We start from the raw sequence: 22498 nt of genomic DNA on the forward strand, positions 1-22498 counted from the left end.
TTTTTTCCTTTTCTGAAACAGAGTCTCCCTCTGTCACCCAGGCTGGAGTGCAGTGGCATGATCCTGGCTCACTGCAACCTCTGCCTTCCAGGATCAAGCGATTCTTGTGCCCCAGCCTCCCAAGTAGCTGGAATTACAGGCGCATGCCACCATGCCTGGCTGGTTTTTGTATTTTTAGTAGAGAAAAGGTTCATCATATTCGCCAGGCTGGTCTCAAACTCCTGGCCTCAAGTGATCCTCCTGCCTCGGCCTCCCAAAGTGCTAGGATTACAGGCATGAGCCATCGTGCCTGGCCAGTACGTATTTTTGGGATTCTACTGTATTTAAGGTCAGAGAGATTCAGTTAGCCTCAGAAGTCCATTTCATTTTCTCTGTATGGAATTTATTTTATACTCCTTTGACAAAAGTGAAAATCCAAATTAATATGAAATGTGAAGAAACTAATAAAGACAGGGAATTAGAAAACAAGAGGCGACCTTAAAGTTTTTCTAGTTCAATTCTTTATTTTATATGTGTGGAAATGGAAGTCCAGAGGAGTTAAGCAACTTTTCTAAGGTCACACAGTGTGTAAGTGAGGGAATTGTCGTGAGAGCCCAGACATTCTCATGCTGAGCCAGTATTCTGTTGACCAAATCATACCGTGTTCAAGGATTCACTTCTTCTTTTGGCACAACATGATTTCAAAAATTAAAAACAGAGAAACACAGCTTGGAAAAACACAGATAAAAATGAGCCAATGCTATTTAAAATTTATGAAGAAAGCAAGGGATGTAAGACACTTCTCTGCTGGCTGCGAAAACATGAGAGCTGTGAAGTCCAGTGAGACAGCATTCCAAATGTCTTTCCTTTTTGTCTATTCTCAAGAACCTGTATTTAACAATGGTACTCTACACTCACAGCCAACAGTAAACACCAGTCCTACAGGTCGGCAGTTGGCAATCCCTGGTCCACGTGCCAGAGATGCTGCAGGTGCCAATCTCAGGCGGCAAGGAAACTGACTACAACACACAAATTCCCATCCCTTTCATTCCCAGTAGTTATTGCCTACAGTTGTCTCCACCCTCTTGCCAGAGTTTTCAAGATCAACACCCTGACATGACTTCCTGTGTAGCACCAGTACCATCCTGGCCTTCTGGAATCACAGTTTCAGTCATTTGGCACACTTCTGTGAGAAGGCAATCGCCATGGACTCCTACGATAAAACATAAATAAGTATTCCCAGCATTTTTAATAGTAAATGCTAAATTTCAACCCTAAATTGTTTCTTTTCTTCTCTGTGATCCTAGAGCAATAGGATATTCTTGATTATTAATATCTACTGCATAAGAATATGCCAAAAGGATGAATTGGACAAACCAAATGCACAAGATATCCAAACTTAAAAGAATAGGCCAGGCACGGTGGCTCGCGCCTGTGTTCCCAGCACTTTGGGAGGCCGAGGCGGGTGGATCACCTGAGGTCAGGAGTTCGAGACCAGCCTGGCCAACATGGGGAAACCCCCTCTCTACTAAAAATACAAAATTAGCCAGGCATGGTGGCCCACGCCTGTAGTCCCAGCTACTCAGGAGGCTGAGGCAGGGGAATCACTTAAACCTGGGAGACAGAAGTTGCAGTGAGCCAACAACTGCACTCCAGACTGGGCAACAGAAGAAGACTCCTTCTCAAATAAATAAGTAAATAAATAAATAAATAAATAAATAAAAAGAATAAAGGGTAACACATCCCTAGGCCTATATGATGTGAGTAGAAATTTGAACACAACCACTCATTTGTTCATTTAGTCAAAGTTTATTGAGTGTCTACTATGAACAGGCCTGTTGCCAACCATTCAGGAGATGAATATCAGGAGGTCCTCTGCAAGAGAGTGGCTCAGAATTTATTTACAGTCAGACTGCCTGGTCTTGATTCATGTTTCTACCACTGAATGATTTGGCGACCTTGAATAAATTAATTAATTACACTAAACTTTATTTCCCCCCCCCCTTTAATGTTAGGATAGTATTAGTACCTACTCCACATATTTGATGTAAGAATTTTTCTAAAGCATTTTATGCAGTGCCAACCACATAGTAAGTGCTCAATAATTATCAGCTACAATTAAATTTCTACTGTAGTATGACCTAAAATTAGAGGGATTTAAAGAAGTTTAGAAATCAGAAGATGGCTCAACACTGAAAATTTGGAAATGGGGTCAACAGATAAAGTGTCCTCTATGTATTCCGTATGTTTTTTGTGAGTACTCACTCTGTGCTAGGAATGTATAGGTGTAAAGAGATGAACCAGTGCTTGTCCTTCCCTTTGTGAAGCAATGAATGAAACATAATTGAGACATGCACTGTAAATCCCAGGTTGAGGATTACAAAAAGTTGGAAACCAAAACCAAAATCTGAATTCCTTGACCTTGGGAGAAGTCTCCTGTTTTTTCCAAGTGAACGGGCTAGGACCAGATTCAGAGACAGGCTCCCCGGGAGCCTTTGCCAGCTGACTCACAGAGGTTCCCTGAGTCTGGGCCACAGCTCATGCTCCTGGTCCAGCTATGCCCTCCAAGAGTGAGTGGCCTCCTGTGCCTCTAGGGGGGACATGGGGAAGCCATGAGGGCAAAGGCGTAGGTGACCTACCAGCACCAATGCTCTTCCTGTTTAAAGAGCAATTTTGGTTCCAGATCAGAAAGTTTAGCAACCCTGACAGGTTTAAAATAACTTCTGACAGCAGGGTAATCATAACAGTTTATCTTATGTTCACATAGCACTTTTAAGTCTTCAGAAAAAAAATGTGTCCATTTGCATCTTGCTTTGGGTTTTCAGTGGCACTCTGTGGTGTCCTAAACAGCTTCCATATGCATAATTTTCAGATGAAGGACTGAAGCTTAAGCAGTTTAAGGGACTTCTCTGCAAAAAACACAGCTAGCAAATGGTACATCTGGAACTAGAACCAGGGCCTCCGGTACGCACCTTGTGTATTTAAGGGGTAGGCAGCATCGTGGGCTTCCTGGATGCCTGGGCCAATCCTAAGAGAGGACTGCACACACAGAATTTAGGGTCCACACAGGCAACCGCCTGAGCATGGTTTCTGCACACCATGATTTCCTGCTGCTCCTCTGGTACCAGGGGAGTATTCATCCCTTGAAACCTACCCCTGGTATTAGAGCTCCTCACCTTTGTCCTGCCACTTGAATGTATCCCTTCCCAGTGTTAGTTGCAATGCAGTATGCAGCATCTGCCGTGAAACTAAACAACCGTTTAAAAACTGTTCGGCAGCAATGGAATTACAAATTGTATATCCAGTTTGGGTAATTTTAAAAAATTTAATAAATTATTTCATTGTTATTATTGTTGGAGACAAGGTCTCACTCTGTCACCCAGGCTGGAATGCAGTGGTGCGATCATGGCTCACTGCAGCCTCAAAATCCCTGGCTCAAGTGATCCTCTTGCCTCAGCCTCCCGAATAGCTGGGGATGTAGGCACACGTTGCCATGCCCGGCTAGATAATTTACAAAAACACTTTCTAATGTTCTTCAATTGATGAACCATCAACTTAAAAGTTTTATCCATTGTTTTTGGTTTCACCATCCTGCCCGTCAAGAGGCTCCTCCTCCGTCTCTGACCCTTGGAGTCACAGTTCCTTCTTGCTACCACCTCATCTCATTTCACGCACCAGTATAAAAAAAGCTGTTTTTTGTTTGTTTGTTTGTTTGTTTGTTTGTTTTTCCCCCAGCTTTAAGTACTTTTCTGTCTGGAGCCCAATGCCTATCTTTGGCTAGAGATTGAAAATTGCTTTTCATCTCTCCTCCTCTTCATCTTTGGAAATTTCATGATCTCTTTGATTTTTATATAATGGTTACGATTATGGGTTCAGCAGTCATATTGCCTAAGTTTGATTCTGGACTAGGTACTTATTAGCTGGGAGCATTGGTTAAATTATATAATCTCTCTATAGTTCTGTTTTCTCGCCTAAAAATAGTAGTAATAGTCTCTACCTCATAGGGTTTTTATGAGGACTTAAAGAGCTCTTACTTGTAAGGTTCTTGGAATAGTGCTTCACTAAGCACTGTGCGTATATGTGTGTGTGTGTGTGTGCGCGCACGCATGTACGTGAGCATGTGAGTGTTGTACGTGAACTAGAGATGTCTTTGTTCTGGATCTTACCACCCAGAACCAAGTATAGTTCTAAACTTACTCTCTAATCTCATTGAGAACAGCCTCTACTCCCACCCTGTCTGTGTTCTGTGTTCCTCTGAATCTCTTAACCTCCTTTGCAGCCATGCCCACAGGACTCGTCAAACAGGATAAGAAGCCTTCCATAAATAATCTCTGACTCTCCTGGCCTCATCATGGCACATTCTAGATGGGGAAGAAACCCACATTCACTTAACATATCCTACGTTAGGATTGGTTAGACTTATTCTTAATTTGAAATGTTGCTAATAAAGTCCCACATTGTCCTGGTTAAGTAAAGAAGGCTTGGGAGCCAGATTGTTTGGGTATGAGTCTAACATTTACCATCTGCTTGAAGTTCACATCTATAAAATGGGATAATAATGGGAAATGAATTGGCTATAATGATAAACTGAGGTTATCTCTATAAAGTACCTATCAATGTGCAGTGGATGGTGCAGAGTAATTTATAATAATGCTAACTATTAACATTATTATTAAAACGCTTTTTTCCATTGAATTGTCTCTGTGTGGGGCTTTCCATTCGTCCCCAGCAGTGAAAAGTTGTGTGGTGGTACTAACTTCCTCTAAGTGAAGAGCATGTGCTTATTTAGAGACAATCATAGACAGTCCCCTGGAGGAGGTGAGAAGAGTAGAAACAAGTGACCATCACAGTCTCAGGGCAGGTTGGAAAGTGGATTTTGTTGTGTAATTGCTTCAGATTGCCAGCTGAATGTTTATGGATTCACTCTCTCTGACAACAGAAATTGTCAGTTTGTAGGATTTTATAAAAATCAATTTCCCTCCAAGCTGAAGTAGGCACTTAGGTACATTTACTGCTTATAAGAAAGGAAGTACAATTGAGGGGAAACATCCAAATGAGGATGAAAATGGACAGAGGTATCAATGGGTTCTGGAGTCTCTGCCTGTGGCTGTATTTTTAAAAACTTTTTATAGATATGACTTTATCTGGTAATAACTGCTATTCCTCTACTACTGAGCATACCTGACTAAGTCACAGGTGGAGTGTCTGTTTTAAACTTCTGGACTCATAGCAGTGTACAAAATAAATCTTTCCCCAACATTCTCAACTCAATAAGTGCTTAAATTAAAAAATGTTAAGTATAACAAATGCATCAAAAACTAAATACTTCCCAGGCAGGAAAAAGGAATGCTTTGCAGAGTCTCTTGGTTCATTCAGTCTCAGATATAAAGAGAGTAGTGAACTTAGGTGGTATTTGGTACCAAGATTCCAGGAGATGACTGAGGAGGGAGAGTCAAATGTCACACCAGTTAGGAATGACTTTCCTTGCCCAGTGCTCTCCTCAGGGCACCCTTGACCTCTCCGTTCCTCAGGCTGTAAATCAGGGGGTTAAGTGTTGGGTTGAAAAAACTGTAAAATAGAAAAAAGACCTTTTGCTGCTCCTCAGGATGGCGGGACTTGGGGGCCATGTACATGATGATGGCACTGCCAAAGAAGAGTCCCACCACGCAGAGGTGGGAGGAGCAGGTGGAGAAGGCCTTTCTGCGGCCCTCCCCAGACTGGATCCTCAGGATGGCCGCCAGGATGTGCGAGTAGGAGACAAGCACCAGGCTGGGTGGCCCCACCAGGAAGAACACGCAGGCTGCAAAGATGACCACCTGGTTGAGCCAGGTGTCAGCACAGGCCAGCCTGAGGACAGACAGGATTTCACAGAAGAAGTGGTTGATTTCATGAGGCCCAGAGAAGGGCAGTCTTAGGATGAGAACCACATGGGCCAGAGCCAGGAGGGAGCCACACGTCCAGGAAGTGACGGCCAGGGTGATGCAGACTCTCCAGGTCATGATGACGGAGTATCGGAGAGGGTGGCAGATGGCCACGTAACGATCGTAGGACATCAGCACCAGCAGGAGACATTCGCTGTGTCCAAAACTCAAACAGAGAAAGGTCTGCGTCATGCAACCAGCAAAGGAGATGGGCTTGGCTGGATGCAGGAGGTTCGCCAGCATCTGGGGCACCGTGTTGCGGGTGTAGGCGATGTCGACGACAGCCAGGTGTGAGAGGAAGAAGTACATGGGGGTGTGGAGTCTGGAGTCCAGTGAGATGAGCCCCAGGATGGCCCCGTTCCCCAGCAGGGTGAAGATATAGAACAGGGAGAAGAGCCCAAAGAGGAGCATCTGAATCCTTGGGCCCAGGAGAAATCCCAGTAGGAGGAACTCTGTGACCATTGTCTGATTTTCCCCCATTTCCCTGTGAAAAAGAAAAAGATCACTTAGGACCAGATTGTCAAAAAACACCTAGACATTATTTTATGAATTTAGTCATTTTTAAAAGATAAACTTTTAACATTAGTGATTGAGCTACACATTAAGTTAATTACTGATTGTAAGTATCCAGTGTTATAGAAGGGATTGTGTCACCAATGATAGGATACATAGAGCCATTGACACATCATGGGAAGAAAGAATGTCGTACCAAAAGTGGAAGTAAAATGACCATCTAATAAGGATTGTCTTGAAGCTGCACATATAAAAATTACTAAGAGAATTCCTGAAGTGTAGAAATAATCAGTAATGGAAGAACTCCAAATATGGGAATTAGAGTAGTCCTAGAAAAAAAGATGATGTAATCCCAGTTTCTCAGTAGAAATATCAACTATTTTGCTTTCAACATCTGAAATCAACCTTTGCACTCTGGAGCAGTTTATATAATAACAGAAGAAGTAGAAAGACAAAAAACAATTTTAATGACATTGTGATTGTTTGGGTTCCTGAGAAGGAACTAATGGATGTGCTACAAATGGGTTCTAATTGCAATCTTTATTTTACAATGGGTCATAAATAGGAACCGATAATTGGTGATTTGGCAGTTAATCTACTGATTGATGCACAGTTACTGATTTACCAAAAACTGGTTTTGAATAACAACTCACACAATTTGTAGAAATTAGATTTTTCTGGGCGAGTTTGTACATACGTATCATTTAAAACATTCACAATGCCTGAATGTTATGTTTGCCACTGCATTATATATCATTTCTTTTCTAGTCTCTCCTTTCACTTTTGCCAACCCTTTGGTAAATTTAATCCATTTGTGTTTAAGTAAGATGTTCTTTTTACATGTAGAATGAAAGAAACTATGGAGAAAAAATTTAAATGAAGTATCTTTCAAAAACACCAGAAATGACCATTCATAAAAAATTAATTGTGCTTCAGCAACATAAGAATTGCTAAACACTTTACAGGTGGCTAATTAAAACTTTTTTTGCAAAGAGCTAATTTAGTGACTTCATTATTTTGCAGATTATTATAGCAATAAATTGTCAGGTAATTGGTATTTGTGAATTGGTGATGTGCCAAATAATATTTGGGTTTTTGTCCTTAAGTCCTAGATAACATTTTCCTCAATATACCATGTAGAAATCCAGTATTTTGCCAGTGCACATGTTTTTGTTAGTGCCTTTGCTAGGCAAAAATAACCTGCGGCTGAGCCGTTGAACCTGCTTATCTCTGAAGAAAAAGCTTCTCTGGATTAAGGAGAACTTCTCCAGATTAAGGAAATATGCTGCTTTTGATAAGACCCTGGTCCAGCTGTCATTGGAGCAAAGACATGGAACCACCCTAAATGTCCACCAACGATAGACTGGATAAAGAAAATGTGGTACATATACACCATGGAATACTATGCAGCCATAAAAAAAGAATGAGATCTTATCCTTTGATGGACATGGATGGAGCTGGAGACCATTATCCTTAGCAAACTAATGCAGGAACAGAAAACCAAATACCGAATGTTCTCACATATAAGCAGGAGCTAAATGATGAGAACACATGGACACATAGAGGGGAACAACACAGTACTGGGGCCTATCACAGGGTAAAGGGTGGGAGGAGGAAGAGGATCACAAAAAATAACTAATGGGTACTAGGCTTAATATCTGGGTGATGAGATAATTTGTACAAAAAACCCTCAAGACACAAGTTTGTTTACCTATGTAACAAACCTGCATTTGTACCCCTGAACTTAAAAGTTAGAAAAGAAAAAGTTAAAAAACTAATCTAATTGGAGCCCTAAAGAACGTTCCCACTGGATCCTTTTCCAGTGGTAACAAATGATTGTATACTTATAAGCATTATCAATAAATTGTTGATTATTATCAGCAAGACACAAATAAATTCTAGTGAATATTGTAACTTCATAACACATGGCCAAGGGTTATATTTTTTTTTTCAGGATTCTATTAAAAAAATACTCTCCTAGGCCAACCTTCTACATTTAATTGGAAAACACGCAAAGCATATGAAATATTTGGTTGTGAAATGCATTTGAATTTACACCTTATAAACATCTTTATTTATTTATTTATTTTTTTGAGACGGTTTCCCTGTGAAACCTGCCCTGGAATGCGGTGGTGTGATTACGGCTCACTGTAGTTTTGACATATCAGATTCAAGTGATCCTCCCCCTCAGCCTCCCAAGTAGCTGGGATTACAGGTGCATGCCACCATACCTAGCTAATTTTTTTAAATAAATATTTTTTGTACAGACAATGTATTATTATGTCACCCAGGCTGGTTTCAAACTTTTGGGTTCAAGTGCTCCTCCCACCTCAGCCTCCCAAAGTGCTGGGATTGTAGGCATGAACCGTGTACCCAGTCTACATCTTATAAAAAACTTAATTTCTTTATTTAGTCCTTCATTATTTCCTTTTGTAACTCCCCAAATGATTATACAAAGAAAAAAAATCCACTATGCACAAGTATGAATTTCTTTGAAAGCTAGATGGAGAGTCAAGAAGAAAGGAGAGCTTGGTGAAGACACTCAGATTCTTTAAGGACAGTTGCCACATGGGTTGAAACCCTGATTTCTTTTACAGGACTGGGTTGTTAACACACTCCTTGTGAACAAGGAAAAGGTGCTCTCACTTTTGTAATCCTGACAGTAAATACTTACTGTGTGGACAAATTAATCAATAAATACAAATGAATAAATGAATGAATGCATAGTTTTTTTAACCATCCTTTGACTGAATCTGGAATGTCTACTATAATCTGAATACTTGAAAGACACTTTTGTTTTCTTTTTCTCCCCCATAGTTTCTTTCATTCTACATGATACAAAGAACATCTTACTTAACTCAATGGATTAAATTTACCAAAGGGTTGGCAAAAGTGAAAGGAGAGACTAAAAAAAAAAATTAAATATAACCCAGTTGCAAATGTAACATTCAGGCATTGTGTATACTTTCAGGGGTGTCCAATCTTTTGGCTTCCCTGGACCATGTTGAAAGAAGAAGAATTGTCTTGAGCCACACATAAAATCCACTAACACTAACGATGGCTAACGAACTTAAAAAAAAAATCACATAATATTTTAAGAAAATTTACAAATTTGTGTTGGGCCACATTCAAAGCTGTCCTGGGCCACCTGCAATTTGGACAAGCTTGCTTTAAGTGATATATATGTACAAGTTAGCCATTTAAAAATTTGGCAAATTATTTGATGACTAATAAATTAACCAACGTTTCCATGGCTTCTAAGTAAATATGTAAGACTGAAATCATTTCTTTACACATGACGAAACCTGTCTACTTCAAAAGGTAAAACTTAAGATCTGATGAGCTGACAAACTCCTTTCTAATGAGTCACACAACATTCTTAAAATGAAAGCTATTTTTAAATCCTCAGGTCAAGTAAAGTATTAGATGATTTATTTCCAAGAATCAGAAATATTTGAGGCTGGATGCGGTGGCTCATGCCTGTAATCCCAGCACTTTGGGAGGCTGAGGCAGGAGGATTGCTTGACACCAGTAGTTTAATACCAGCCTGGGCAACATAGTGAAACCCTGTCTCAAAAAAACAAGTAAAACAGAAACAAAAACAGTAGCTGGGCGTGGTGGCACATGCCTGTAGTTCTACCCGCTTGGGAGGCTGAGGCAGGAGGGTTGCTTGAGCCCAGCAGTTTGAGGTTGTGGTGAGCTATGATAGAACCATTGCACTTCAGCCTGGGCAATAGAGTGAGACCCTGTCTCAACAAAAAGAAAAGGAAAAAAAGAATATTTGTTAAAACTAATACACTCATAACACTCCTTTGTCTTTTTTTTTTTCTTTCTCTTTTTGAGGCAGGATCTCGTTCTGTCACTTAGGCTGGAGTGCAGTGGCGCAATCATAGTTCGTTGCAACCTCAACCTCCCTAGGCTCAGGTGATCCTCCCACCTAGCCTCCCCAGTAGCTGGGATTACACGTGTGCTCTACCATGTCTGGCTACCTTTTTTTAAAAACTTTTTTTTAGAGATAGGGTCTCACTGTGTTGTCCAGGCTGGTCTCAAACTACTGGCCTCAAGCAGTCCTTCTGCCTCAGCCTCCCAAAGTGCTGAGAATACAGACATGAGCCACTGCACCTGGCCTCAAATATTCTTATTACTCGGGAGTAAAGCATCTAATACTTTATTTGACCTGAGGATTTAAAAATAGCTTTTATTTAAAGAATATGATGTGACTCATTAGGAGTTTGTTGGCTCATCAGATCTTAAGTTTTACTTTTTGAAATAGACAGGTTTGGTCATCTGCAAAGAAATGATTTCAGTCTTACATATTTACTTAGAAATCATGGAGATGTTGGATAATTTATTAGTCATAAAATAATTTGCCAAATTTTTAAATGGCTAACTTGTACATATATATCATTTAAAACATACACAATGCCTGAACGTTATGTTTGCAACTGGGTTATATTTAATTTTATTTTTAGTATCTTCTTTCACTTTTTCCAATCCTTTGATGAATTTAATCCATTTGCATTTAAATGAGATTTTCTTTGTATCACATAGAATGAAAGAAACTATGGGGTGGGGGTGGGTGGAGAAATAGTAGTGTCTTTCAAGTATACCGATTACAGTAGGCAAGATTTAAGCAAGCCAGAAATTCCAGATTCAGTCCAAAGACGGTAAAAAAACAAACAAACAAACAACAACAAAAAAAAAACCAAAAAATGATATTTAGGCATTCATTCATTCATTTGATTTATTGATCTAGTAAGTGACTAAAAAGGTGAAATACATTTGACTATATATTGTGCCTGGAATATGGTAGGTGTTCAATAATTATTTATTGACTAACTAGATATCAATTTGATTAAATATGAGAAAGCAAAACATTAATGAACTCTCCACATTCTTCTGTGAATCAGGTTCTCAGGCAGAGTAAACACTGAAAGAAACAAAAAAAGTAGCAATTAAAGAGCCATGGGCTTAGTGGTCAGATGCACATTTATTAGTTATATGACCTTGAGCACATATCTTAGCCTCTCCAAACTCGTTTCCTCTTTTTTAAAAAGGAGAAAAGTGATAGTACCTATTTTATGAGGTGGTTGTGAAGATTAATTGAGATGATCTGTGTTATACATTGAACACATTTCTGGTATGCAGTGAACACTTAATGGCTGAGATCAATTATTATCAGTCTTTAACAATTTCTTGAGTAGCCTGAAGATTGTATGAACCTGACAAGCATTGCCTCTTCAAGGTTCACAATAGTCCCTTAAAACCATGATCCTCTAAAGCTGATTTTGTAGTCTTGATTATGGCAGTGGAAGTCAACATGTTAATTTTATGGATGATGTATTCTTTATTTATTTAAATCTGGCATTGATGTTTATAGTTTTGTTGCTTTCATGCAGTTACTTCTCCATCATATAAAAAATTAGCTTAATTCTCTACATACATACATTATTTGTGATAATATGTTCAAAGAAGTTAGCATGAACTTTCCCTCAAACTATCCCCATTGCAGAAAGATAATCAGCACATAATTAGAGAGGAGTGAATTTCCTTACCAATGTTTGTAGTGGATGTGAAAGTTAACCAAGACCAGGAGCTACAACATGTCTAGGAGGAATTCATGGTAAAGTAAAAAGAGGCAACCTGGTTAGCTCCCACATTTGGACTCAAGGATCTCAGAAGAGTGAAGCACCTGAAGGTTTCTGGGAGTTTCTGTGGGAGCTGCAGAATCTTTGCTTCTGTTTCTGATTGAAAATGTATCAGAATCCTCAGAAAAGGAGGTGTTATTCTCTGATGTGCTCAGCCTGGTTGACAGCTGAGGGATCACTGGAGGAGCTGGGCCATGAAACCTCCTGCATGCTCATCTCCTTGGGGAAGGAGAGACAAGACAATTGGTTTTTTCTATTTCTGTTCTTAACCCCAGCAGGATGCACAATTAACAAACACCGACAGCCACAGAGCACACCTCTGAGACAACATCTTTCATTATAGTCCCGGAATGCTTGGATTTCATGAATCCCAGCACTGCCCTTGTTCCCCAAGCTTCAGATGGTTCAAGTGAACCTGTCAGGAAGCAGAACCAGTGTGACAATGAATAAGCTCCTGGCAGGAACCTCTGTAGCTCAGCCTCTCCCTGATGTAATCTGGGTTACTTGTGTTGCAGCAGAACTGGGAAGAAAGGACCCTGAAAAGTTAGCTGGTTCCAAGTGACCCTCCAAGGTATGGAGATGCTTTGGGGAGCTGGTGAGGGAGGCACAGAGCAGACTGGGGAGTCAACGGAGGGGCCAAGGTGTCCCGGTGGGGCTTATTAGAACCTGCCTGAAGGGAGGGTCTCCTAAGACACAAACCACCACTGTAGATCGTGTATTAGAATTATTCTCTAATCTTTATTCTGAAAGGGGAAGAGTGCTGGATTCAGAGCCCACCTCAGGGGAAGACAGGACCCTCTCCAAGATGGTTTCCCTAGAAGCTACTACCTCTCCCTGGAGGGTGGAGATATTTGCTGGTCAAAGGTATTTTCATGTTTATTTCTACTTCTTTCTTCTACTGGACATAGGAGGATTATGAATTTTATATTAAGCAATTATGCAATTTACAAACTAATGAGTTTATTACAATGTGGTCTTTGACCTGCTGGGGTTATGGTATAAACCCAAGGAAAATCTTGCCCAGGTAATCAGGGTGTGAGAACACGCTCACCTGTGTTCCAGCTGTATATGTCCACAGTGAATTGCTTTGGGGACACACAAAAATGCTCCTGATCATATGAAAAGTCTAGTGCCTAGTAGGCCATCCATAAACATTAGAATCTTTTCTTTATTTTTCTTTCCACACCCCGGTGAAGTGCAACAGATATAAATGACAAGCCTGTGAAAACAACAATTTTAGAACTTTTTTCCATATTCCTCATCATATGAACATCAGTTAGAAAAAGTCATTTTAAGGTAGAAAACAGAAAATGTGAGCTAAAACAAGTTAAATATAAGGTTTTTATGATGCCAAACAAACTAATTTAGGAAATGCATCGCCTCAAATTACATGATTTATCACATATCAAGTTGAAGAAGCTTAAGCTTCTAAAAATGGTCAGAGTAAACACATACAAAACGTAAAAGTATACGAAGGAAAATAACACAGACAGAACAGTCCGATCTTAGTAGAAATGGATATGCTTACAGATGTTTGCATGATACGCCAGTATGCAGAAATCAGGAAACTGCCTTTTGGGAGCAAGTAGTCAGCTGAAAGTTCTGTGAATAATGGCTTTAGAGAATTCATTTCTATATAACCAACACCTTAGGAACATTGGTTATAAACACACATTTGAGGGTATAAAAATTAAAAAGATAGAAAATAATTAGTAAGTAAGTATAACATTTGGGAATGTCACACAAACAAAAACTTAGCAAAAACCCTTTAGGAACATGAATATCAATAGCTATAACTCAAAATTGTCAATATTCTGTTAAAATTAAATTGAAATAACTTCTGTTGAAGACAGTAAAAATGACACAAAAGTATATGAAAGAACTCAGCACATAAACGACACAGCCAATATTAATTGAAATGAGAAATATTTACATGATCTTCCAGCATTGGGCATTTGATTTCATTGAACATTTATAACTTCTATGCTTAAAGTACTTTTAGAATTTGACCACAGAGTTCATTTGAGAGTAATACAGACAAAAGCTAACATAAGATGGGTGGGTTTAGCCACCTTACAGAGTAAATTATCCTAAGAGATGTTTTATAAAAGAGCAGCTAATAATGTTCGGAGAAACAGCCAAGACATAGGTAAATATATCTTCAGGATGGCATGACAGAAGTGGAATGAGAAGAGAGTGAAAATGCTAATGTTCTCAATTATATTTCATGAATAATTATGAGTTAAAAGGGCAGAAGTTCATCTGAAATCCTTTGAAACAGAGAACAAAAGAGAAATAATTGTAAGGACTTACTTTTAGGGTTTGTTTCAGCTGCTAGTGTTACCTTAACTAAGACAAATTCCTTAAAAGATGTGGGGTCTTCTTCCCTTGCACAATTGTCTCTGGACTTAACTGCCAGTGTGGGATTGCATTTCCCAGCCCTCTTATATTTAGGTGGGGTCATGTTCTTACAAAAGGTATACAAGCAGAAGAGATTTGTGCAGCTTCCAGGGCTGCAGTGGAAGGAGGGCATGCATGGAGGAGGAGGGCATGCCTCCTCCATGTTTGGCCTTCCCATCACTGGCTGGAAGTGAAGGCCTACAGGGCTCTAGGATGGCGGGACCATGCGATGGAAGGTGCCTGGGTCCCTGCATCACCAGTGGAAGGCTGTCTGTCATCCCTGCCTAGGACTTTACATGAGCAAGATGTAAAGTTTTATTTTGTTAAATCACTGTGATTTGGGAGTTTACCTGTTGCTGTTTATCCTACCTAATACATTATTTAACATTACTATGGCGATGAGAGGAATGAGGAAGGGCTAGTAACTCTAAAGCTAAGGTATTAGGAGCTCTCGAGATCAATTCATATTCTAAAAAGCATCAACATATGGCATGAAATACTGACTTTTTGCTTATGTCATGCAGTTATCTTAGAGTCTGAGGAGTCATGGTTTATTTTGTGTGCTATTTGGTTTCTCATGCAAACTATTTTAATTAATAATATAGGTTAACTTACTTAAACATAGCCCAATATTGAATAATAATGTAAGTGATACAAAATGATATTTTTGAGGAAACACTTTGATACAATTTAGCACAATCCAACAAGATTCTAAACTGCTTTTAATAATTGCTTAATTTTGGCTTTTACTAAAATATATGAGAAATGTGTACTGTTTTGAGAACTTAAGGGGCCAGACGTTTTTTGAGAAAAGGCTTTTTAGAAATTCTAACATTAATACGTGTTTCCTGTAATATTATTGAAAAACATAGAAGGGTTTATTTCTCCTAGTTCATTCCTCTGCCTAAAGCAACTTCTGTTGACTACTTAATGTACATCATTCCAGATCACGAAATTAAATACAGATGTATGTAAACACACATGTGCATACATGTGTACTCACATACACATATACAGGTGTACGAATTTATGTATAGCTAGGAGATTTCCCTGCACAAATGACAAAGTCTTATAAAAATGTTACTTGCTTTTTTCATTTAGCTATATTTGATGAGCTATTTTCATTGCAGCTCATTTTAGATAATACTTGTTCTATTTAATAGCTGTGTAACATTTTTCATAATTTAGTAATTTCAAAATTAACACTTGATCTTTTGAATTTTTGAAATCAATTTAATACCAAATCCATGTACACATTTCTTTGTGCAGTTACATATGTAAGTATTTCTGTAGAATGGATTCTTAGAATTAGTATGCGTGTTTTAAATGTTGGGTAAATAATTTCAGTTTTTTAAATCCAAAATGTGTGCCAATTTATACCTCCACCAACAATGTGTGAGTGTCATCAACATCACATGTAACACCATTTTCCCCTCACAATCTATTGAGTAAAAAAATCTCATTTTATAGTAGATTTCCTGATTGAGATAGATGACATTGTCATATTTATTGGTATGTTGTGTTTATTCTGTTGTCTGTATCTACATATTTTTGTCCATTTTTCTCATGGATTTGTGTATTACCCTTTTGGTTTTTTCACCTATGTTAAAATATATTAGCTGCATTACTATCCTCTTTCTTAGGATGAAATTTCAGGCCAGTCAAAAATTCAGGCTCATTTTTCTCAAGCTTTTAATCATGGGTAGAAAAGACTCCATATGTCCAGGCTGGAGGAGATTGGTATAACTTAGTATAATAGTTACAGACATAGTCTCTGGCCTTTGGAACACCTAAAGAAAAGTCCTCCTGTGCCACCTACTAGCTGTCTGAGGTGTACTTAACATCTCTGTGCCTTGATTTTTTTCATGTATAAATTGTATATAATAGTAATACTTCCCTCTGGCAATTGTTATGAAGATTAGATTAGACATAAATGCATATGTGTAAAACATTGTTTGATATGAAACAAGTACTCAATAAATGCCAGGAATTAATATTATTATGTCACTTGTGCAATGCCAGCACAAATGTACAGATCTGGGAAACTCTGTGAATAAAAGTTATTCTTAATCTTTTTCAAATAGGGTAATGAAACTGTTTTTACTTCCTTAGAGAGGACAGTTAATGTGAAACTTCTTTTGCCTTATTCTGCAAGTCTTATGCCATTCATAGTTCATACAGCATAAATATATTGAAATCAATAATTAATTTTGTGGTTACTCTTGAATTCCTACTATTTGTGAGGCTCAGGAGTTCGAGAATAATTCTCAAAAATTATTCTCAAAAATTCCATTTAATTTTGTCTCCTATGTAAAAGAAAAACAACATACATTCTAGGAAGTTAATAAAAAGGCATAGAATTTGAGAACTAAAAGGAACTTAACAATCATCTAGTCCGACATTTCATTTTATATGTGGGGAAACCAATGTGCAGAGGAATTAAGTGACTTCTCTAAGGTCATGCAGTGAGTAGGTGGTAAATTGGGAGAGGAACCCATAATTTTGTGAAATATATATTTGGTCTTTGTCCCCATTTCTTGGCGTACAGTTTCTAAAACTCTAGGAATCCCCAGAGTGATAAGAGTATCTTTTGTATGTTCTGTGGTTTGAATGTGTCCCCCAAAGTTCATGAGTTGGAAACTTAATCTCCAATGTAACAGTGTTGAAAGGTGGGACCTCTAAGAGGTGATTAGGTCATGAAAACTCTGACTTAATGCATGGATTAATGGTGTTGTCTCAGGAGTGGATTTGTTATGTGGAGATTGGGTTAGTTACAAAAGCAAGTTTGTCCCTCTCTCATCCTCTCACCTTTCACCATGCAGCAAGAAGGCCCTCTGCAGATGCTGACACCTTGATATTGGACTTCCCAGATTCCAGAACTCTGAGAAATAAATTTCTATTTTAAATAAATTACCCAGTCTGTGATATTCTGTTATAGCAACACAAAATGGACTTAGACGGTATGCTAATGAGATGACTGCTGGCAGGGAGCTCTGAAATAACTTTAGGATAGGGGCTGGTTACTACAAAAACAAAGGCATGTTTAGTGGGTTGGGACTTTCAGCCTATACCTCAACCTCTGGGGAGGGGAGAGGGCCTGAAGTTTGAGTTGATCACTAATGGCCAATGATGTAATCAATCATGCCTGTGTAATGAAGGCTTTACAGAAAACCAAACAGGGTTTGCAGACTTTCTTGATTGCTGAACACATGGAGGTTCCTGGAGGGTGGTGTGCCCAGAGAGGTCATGGAAGCTCCATGCCCCTTCTCCAATACCTCACCAGATGCATCTCTCTCATCTGGATGTTCATCTCTATCCTTTGTAATATCCTTCGTAGTAAATGGTCAAACTTAAGTAAAGTGTTTCCCTGAGTTCTGTGAGCCACTTTAGCAAATTAATTGAGCCTAAGGAGGGGGGTCATGAGAGTCCCAATGTATAGCCAGTTGAACAGAAGCACAGGTCGCAACCTGAGGCTTGCAATTACCATCTGTAGTGTTGGGTGGGGGGAACAGGCTTGTGGGATCTGACACTGTCTCCCAGTAGATAGTGTCAGAATTGAATTGATTTTTAGGGCATGCAGTCGGTGTCCATTGCAGATTGCTAGGTGTGTGGGGAAAAACCTCAACGTATCTGTTGTTAGAAGTAAATTGTTGAGTGACTGTGTGAGTATAAGCAAAGGAGTAGGAAAAGCACCTTTGGTTTTTTCAATATTTTAGAGAATCCAGATGTCTTGGCTCTGAGCCAGTCATCTGAGGACCAAACCAGGCCGTGCCTAGTAGTGAACCTCTTCTCTTGACCCAACAAGATTACAAAAATTAAAAACAAACAAATAAACAGAGACAGGTCAAAAAAAGTAAACAAAAACCAAAACAGCAAGTCAAATGAAAGCAGGGCTCTTAATCAAAGTTCATCAAGAAGGTAAGAAAAATTGATATGGTCTGGGAAAACATCAGAGCTGTGAGACAGCATTCCAACTCTTGTTTTTCTCCCACTTTTTCTTTTTTCTTTTCTTTTCTTCCCCCCCCCACCCCCCCCATTGAGACAGGGTCTTTCTCTGTCACCTAGGGTGGAATACAGTGGTGCAACCATGGCTCACTGCGAACTCAACCTCCTAGGCTCAAGCAAGTTTCCCATCTCAGCTTTTCAAGCAGCTGGAACCATAGGCGTGTGCCACCTCACCTGGCTAATTTTTTTATGTTTGAAGTTTTTTGAAGAGACAGAGTTTCACTATGTTGCCCAGGCTGGTCTCAAACTCCTGGGCTCAAGCAATCCTCCTGCCTCAGCCTCCCAAAGTGCTGAACTACAGATGTAAGCCATTGTGCCTGGCCTTCACTTTTTCTTAGGAACCATAGATTTAACAATGAATCTCTATATGATTAATATTCAAAGTGTGGTCTATGGATCCGCAGCATCAGCAAGGTATGAGAGATGATAAGAAATGCAAATCTCTGCCTATTTCATTTAGACCTGTTGAATCAGAACCTGTATTTTTGCAAGATCCCTGAATGATTAATATACACATTGACATGTGAGAAGCACTGGTCTACATTACCTAGCAAAGAGTAAAGAATGGTCCTACAGGTCAGTGATGGCAGTGCTCACTCTACATACCAAGGACACCATGGGGGCCAATTTAAGGTAGTGCATGCACTGACTTCCACTCCCAGGGTGTCATCCGTGTCATTTTCAGTAATTACAGTGCCTTATGCTCTACTCTTTGGCAAGACAGAGGAGGGGAACACTCTCTCCATGGCTACTGTGCCAGCACAATCACGTTGTGTCATACTATAACCATAGGGTTTGGCAATTTGGGACAGTCTTTTTGAAAGACCTATAACCTTTGTTCTATATGATAGGAACAAATATATATCATCCTAGTTTTCTTTTATATTAGTCTCGAAATATCCTCTCTGAATGTGTTTACAATTTCTCTGTGGCCACTGACAGATGAGATGTAGTTTATTAATATTCATCTCAGAAGAAACTTTTGCAAAAACGGAATGTATCTGGAGCTAAACATGATTAAATTGACTGACACTGTATTTAATTACATATTTTATGGAGATCCTTTTTTAAAAATATAGAAGTGTGGACTACATGATTACTCATTTATTTATTTAGTCAACATTTATTGAGTAACTACTATGAAACTGGCCTGGTCTAGCCACTGAAGATACAAATATCAATAGGCCCTTTCCAAAAGAATGGTTCTCAGTTAATGTAGAGTAGATTGACTGGACTACAGTTTTATTTCTACCACTTGATATTTCGTTGACATCGAGTAAATTAATTAATTCTCTAAACCTCAATTTCCCCTCTATAAATGAGGATATTATTAGTACTTAATTCACAGTGTTGATGTGAGGATTATATCAAAAACATTTAACATATTGTCTCGTACACAAGTGCTAAATAATTTTTAAGCTACAATTACTTTCTACTATTCTGTGTTATTCAGATAAAATGATTTTTATTTTTATTTTTATTTTATTTTATTTTATTTTATTTTTTTCTGAGATGGAATCTTGCTCTGTTGCCCAGGCTGGAGTGCAGTGGCGTGATCTTGGCTCACTGCAAACCCCGCTTTCCAGGTTCAAGCAATTCTTCTGCCTCAGCCTCCCAAGTAGCTGGAATTACAGGTACATGCCACCATGCCCGGCTAATTTTTTTGTATTCTTAGTAGAGACGGGGTTTCTCCATGTTGGTCAGGCTGGTCTTGAACTCTTGACCTCGTGATCCGCCCGCCTTGGCCTCCCAAAGTGCTGGGATTACAGGCATGAGACACCACGCCAAGCCCAAGGATTTTTAAAATACAGAAATCAGAATATAGTTTAACACTGACAATTGTGTCTAAGTACTCAGCAGATAGTTAAAGGTGCATGAATTGGTGCAGCCAGTGCTTAGTGAGTGCCTACTAGGTGCTAGGCAATGTGCTCATGTTACTGATAAATGAATGAATGGATTCCAATTCCTGCTGTTGCGGAGCTCCCCATCTTAGATGTGAAATTTGATACCTACCTGAGCAATGTTCTCAGGTAAACTTTCAGGTAAATACCACCTGAAAGATTATAACCATTTTAAATATCAATAATGAAACTGAATTCCTTTTTCTTGGGGCTGTTTTTAGATAAAATGCTATAAAACATCCATTTTAGTTCTCATCAATTGGTAAGGCACTGCTGTAACACTGCATTGTCGGTCTTCTCGTTCAGTGTTGTCTGTTTCACTCTCCAGCTCAACCCCAGAGTCCTCACGGCCATGCATCCCTGACCCTTGGAGTCACAGTTCTTTCTTGCGACCACTCCCCCACTTTTTTCACATCTCTGTTTAGAGTCAAGCTGCTTCCTTTAGAAGATGTATACCCCTTTCTATCTAAAGCTGAATATCCATAGTTTGGTCTTAATTATGTGTTTTCTTTCACTGTCACGAGTTCTTTGATCTTTATTCACAGATATGCTCTATAGAGGCCGTGCTGTGTAGTGGTTATGGCTATAGGGTCAGGGATCAGATTGTCTTAGTTCAATCCTGGACTGGGTAATTGTTAGCTGTGAGGTACCAGGCAAGTTGCTTAATCTCTCCGTGCCTCAGTTTCTTTATATGTAAGGTAGGATATTGATTATCTTCTGACTCAAAGTGTTATTTTGAGGATTAATTGAGGTAATACATGTAAAATTCTTAGAGCAGTGACTGGCACAAAGTAAATAAGCTCTGTGTGTTTGTGTGTGTGTGTGTGTGTGTGTGTGTGAGAGAGAGAGACAGAGAGAAAGAAAGAAAGAGAGAGAGAGAGACTGACTATGGGTGTGTTGGTTCTGGGTCTTAGCTGAACTAAATAGCCAGTCTCAGTGAGAACTACCTTTATTCTCATCTTCTTCATGTTCTGCATTTGTCTAGAAGTCCAGTGCTTTCATGTGACTCAGCACATAAGAGTCACCATCCAGGACAACCAGCCTCTCATACATGATCTCTGGTCCTCCACGCCTTAGAGAGAACAGATCAGCTCCCTGTGGCATACATCAGACTATAAAGAAAGCTTCCTTCTTTTAATAGTTCTGCCTTGGGATACATTTACCTTATCCTTTATTTGATAACATAGATATTAAAATTCTACATTGATGTGCTATGTACAGAGGCTGGGAGCCAGACTGTCTAGGGATAAGTCTGACACTTGCTGCTTTCTGGTTTGTGCATACATAAAATAGTGACAATAGGACCTTCTTCCTGGATTTGTTATGACTAAATGAAATGGCCCATGTAAAGTGCTATTAATATGTAGCATATGCCATTGAGTGGTGAGTCAAAATGTTAGCTATTATTACAAAAACTCATTTTGTTTTTACATTTAATAAGTTCTGCCTGGGTATCTTCACCCACAGGGAATAATAATGAGTTGGGTGGAGTACTTGTTAACCCCTATGAAAGGCATACACTTATTTTGCTGAAAAAGTATTAACATGCTCTCTTGTAAAATTGAGAAAGACTCTGGAAGCAAGTGGCATCCTAATCTTAGGGAAGGTTAGAAAGTAGAATTTATAGGTAACACTCTGGGAAGCCACCTAAAATGCATGGGGACTCATCTCTAACCATTAGATTTGTAGTGAAGATTTGTTAAAGAAAATTAAAATGGAAACCAGACATGGAGAATCACTTAGATGATTCAGGCTGGGTTAGGTCACTTATGGAATCACTTTTCCTGGAGCAGGGAAAGCCAGTTAGGCCTCATAAGTGACCTAACCCAGACTGATTTGCAAACACAAGTGAAAATTAACTTGAACTATTTCTTATAAATACTTGTATTAAAGCAAAATGAAATTTAAGATTAACCACTCAGAAGCTGCCAACTAAGTTATATAACTAAAGACTTTCCAGCAGTATAGGCCAACTAAGGCAATTGTATAAAGGTAACCAATCAAATATTTTCTTTGCTTTAGTTCCGTGGTTGTCCTGTAAAAGCCCTCCCCTTGCATTCCTTTAGTGGAGCCCATGAACCACTTATAGTTTGGAGCTGTCTGATTCATGAATTGCTATTTGCTCAAGTAA

General features: G+C 39.1%; 1 protein-coding gene and 2 long non-coding RNA genes across 3 annotated transcripts in view, besides 1 other annotated feature; 1 reads left to right on the forward strand and 2 right to left on the reverse strand.

Moving 5' to 3' along the window:
* Positions 1 to 22498, forward strand: part of ARHGEF35-AS1 (ARHGEF35 antisense RNA 1) — a 104269-nt gene that overhangs the window by 31143 nt on the left and 50628 nt on the right. The gene's annotated exons all lie outside the window — the stretch shown is intronic.
* OR2A42 (olfactory receptor family 2 subfamily A member 42) lies at positions 1781 to 13142 on the reverse strand. The gene is made up of 3 exons (NM_001001802.3): positions 13113 to 13142; positions 11969 to 12280; positions 1781 to 6384 (listed from the first exon to the last, which is right to left on the reverse strand). Exon 3 carries the CDS (start codon positions 6378 to 6380, stop codon positions 5448 to 5450), a length of 933 nt encoding a protein of 310 aa, NP_001001802.2. The 5' UTR covers positions 6381 to 6384; positions 11969 to 12280; positions 13113 to 13142; the 3' UTR covers positions 1781 to 5447.
* Positions 12011 to 12512: an enhancer, noted in NCBI's record as "OCT4-NANOG-H3K27ac hESC enhancer chr7:143935567-143936068 (GRCh37/hg19 assembly coordinates)". NCBI's record gives its function as "activates a minimal SCP1, AML or CMV promoter by ChIP-STARR-seq in primed H9 embryonic stem cells {active_cell/tissue: H9 hESC(primed)}" and the evidence as "EXISTENCE:reporter gene assay evidence [ECO:0000049][PMID:30033119]".
* The window catches only part of OR2A1-AS1 (OR2A1 antisense RNA 1), a 117146-nt gene continuing 106757 nt past the window's right edge, over positions 12110 to 22498 (reverse strand). The window contains exons 4-5 of the long non-coding RNA NR_126023.1: positions 13113 to 13280; positions 12110 to 12280 (exon numbers count right to left, since the gene is read on the reverse strand). This is a non-coding gene — a long non-coding RNA (OR2A1 antisense RNA 1). The remainder of the gene's footprint in view (positions 12281 to 13112; positions 13281 to 22498) is intronic.

The sequence above is a fragment of the Homo sapiens genome, chromosome 7 (assembly GCF_000001405.40).
Source record: "Homo sapiens chromosome 7, GRCh38.p14 Primary Assembly".
NCBI classification, from domain to species: domain Eukaryota; kingdom Metazoa; phylum Chordata; class Mammalia; order Primates; family Hominidae; genus Homo; species Homo sapiens.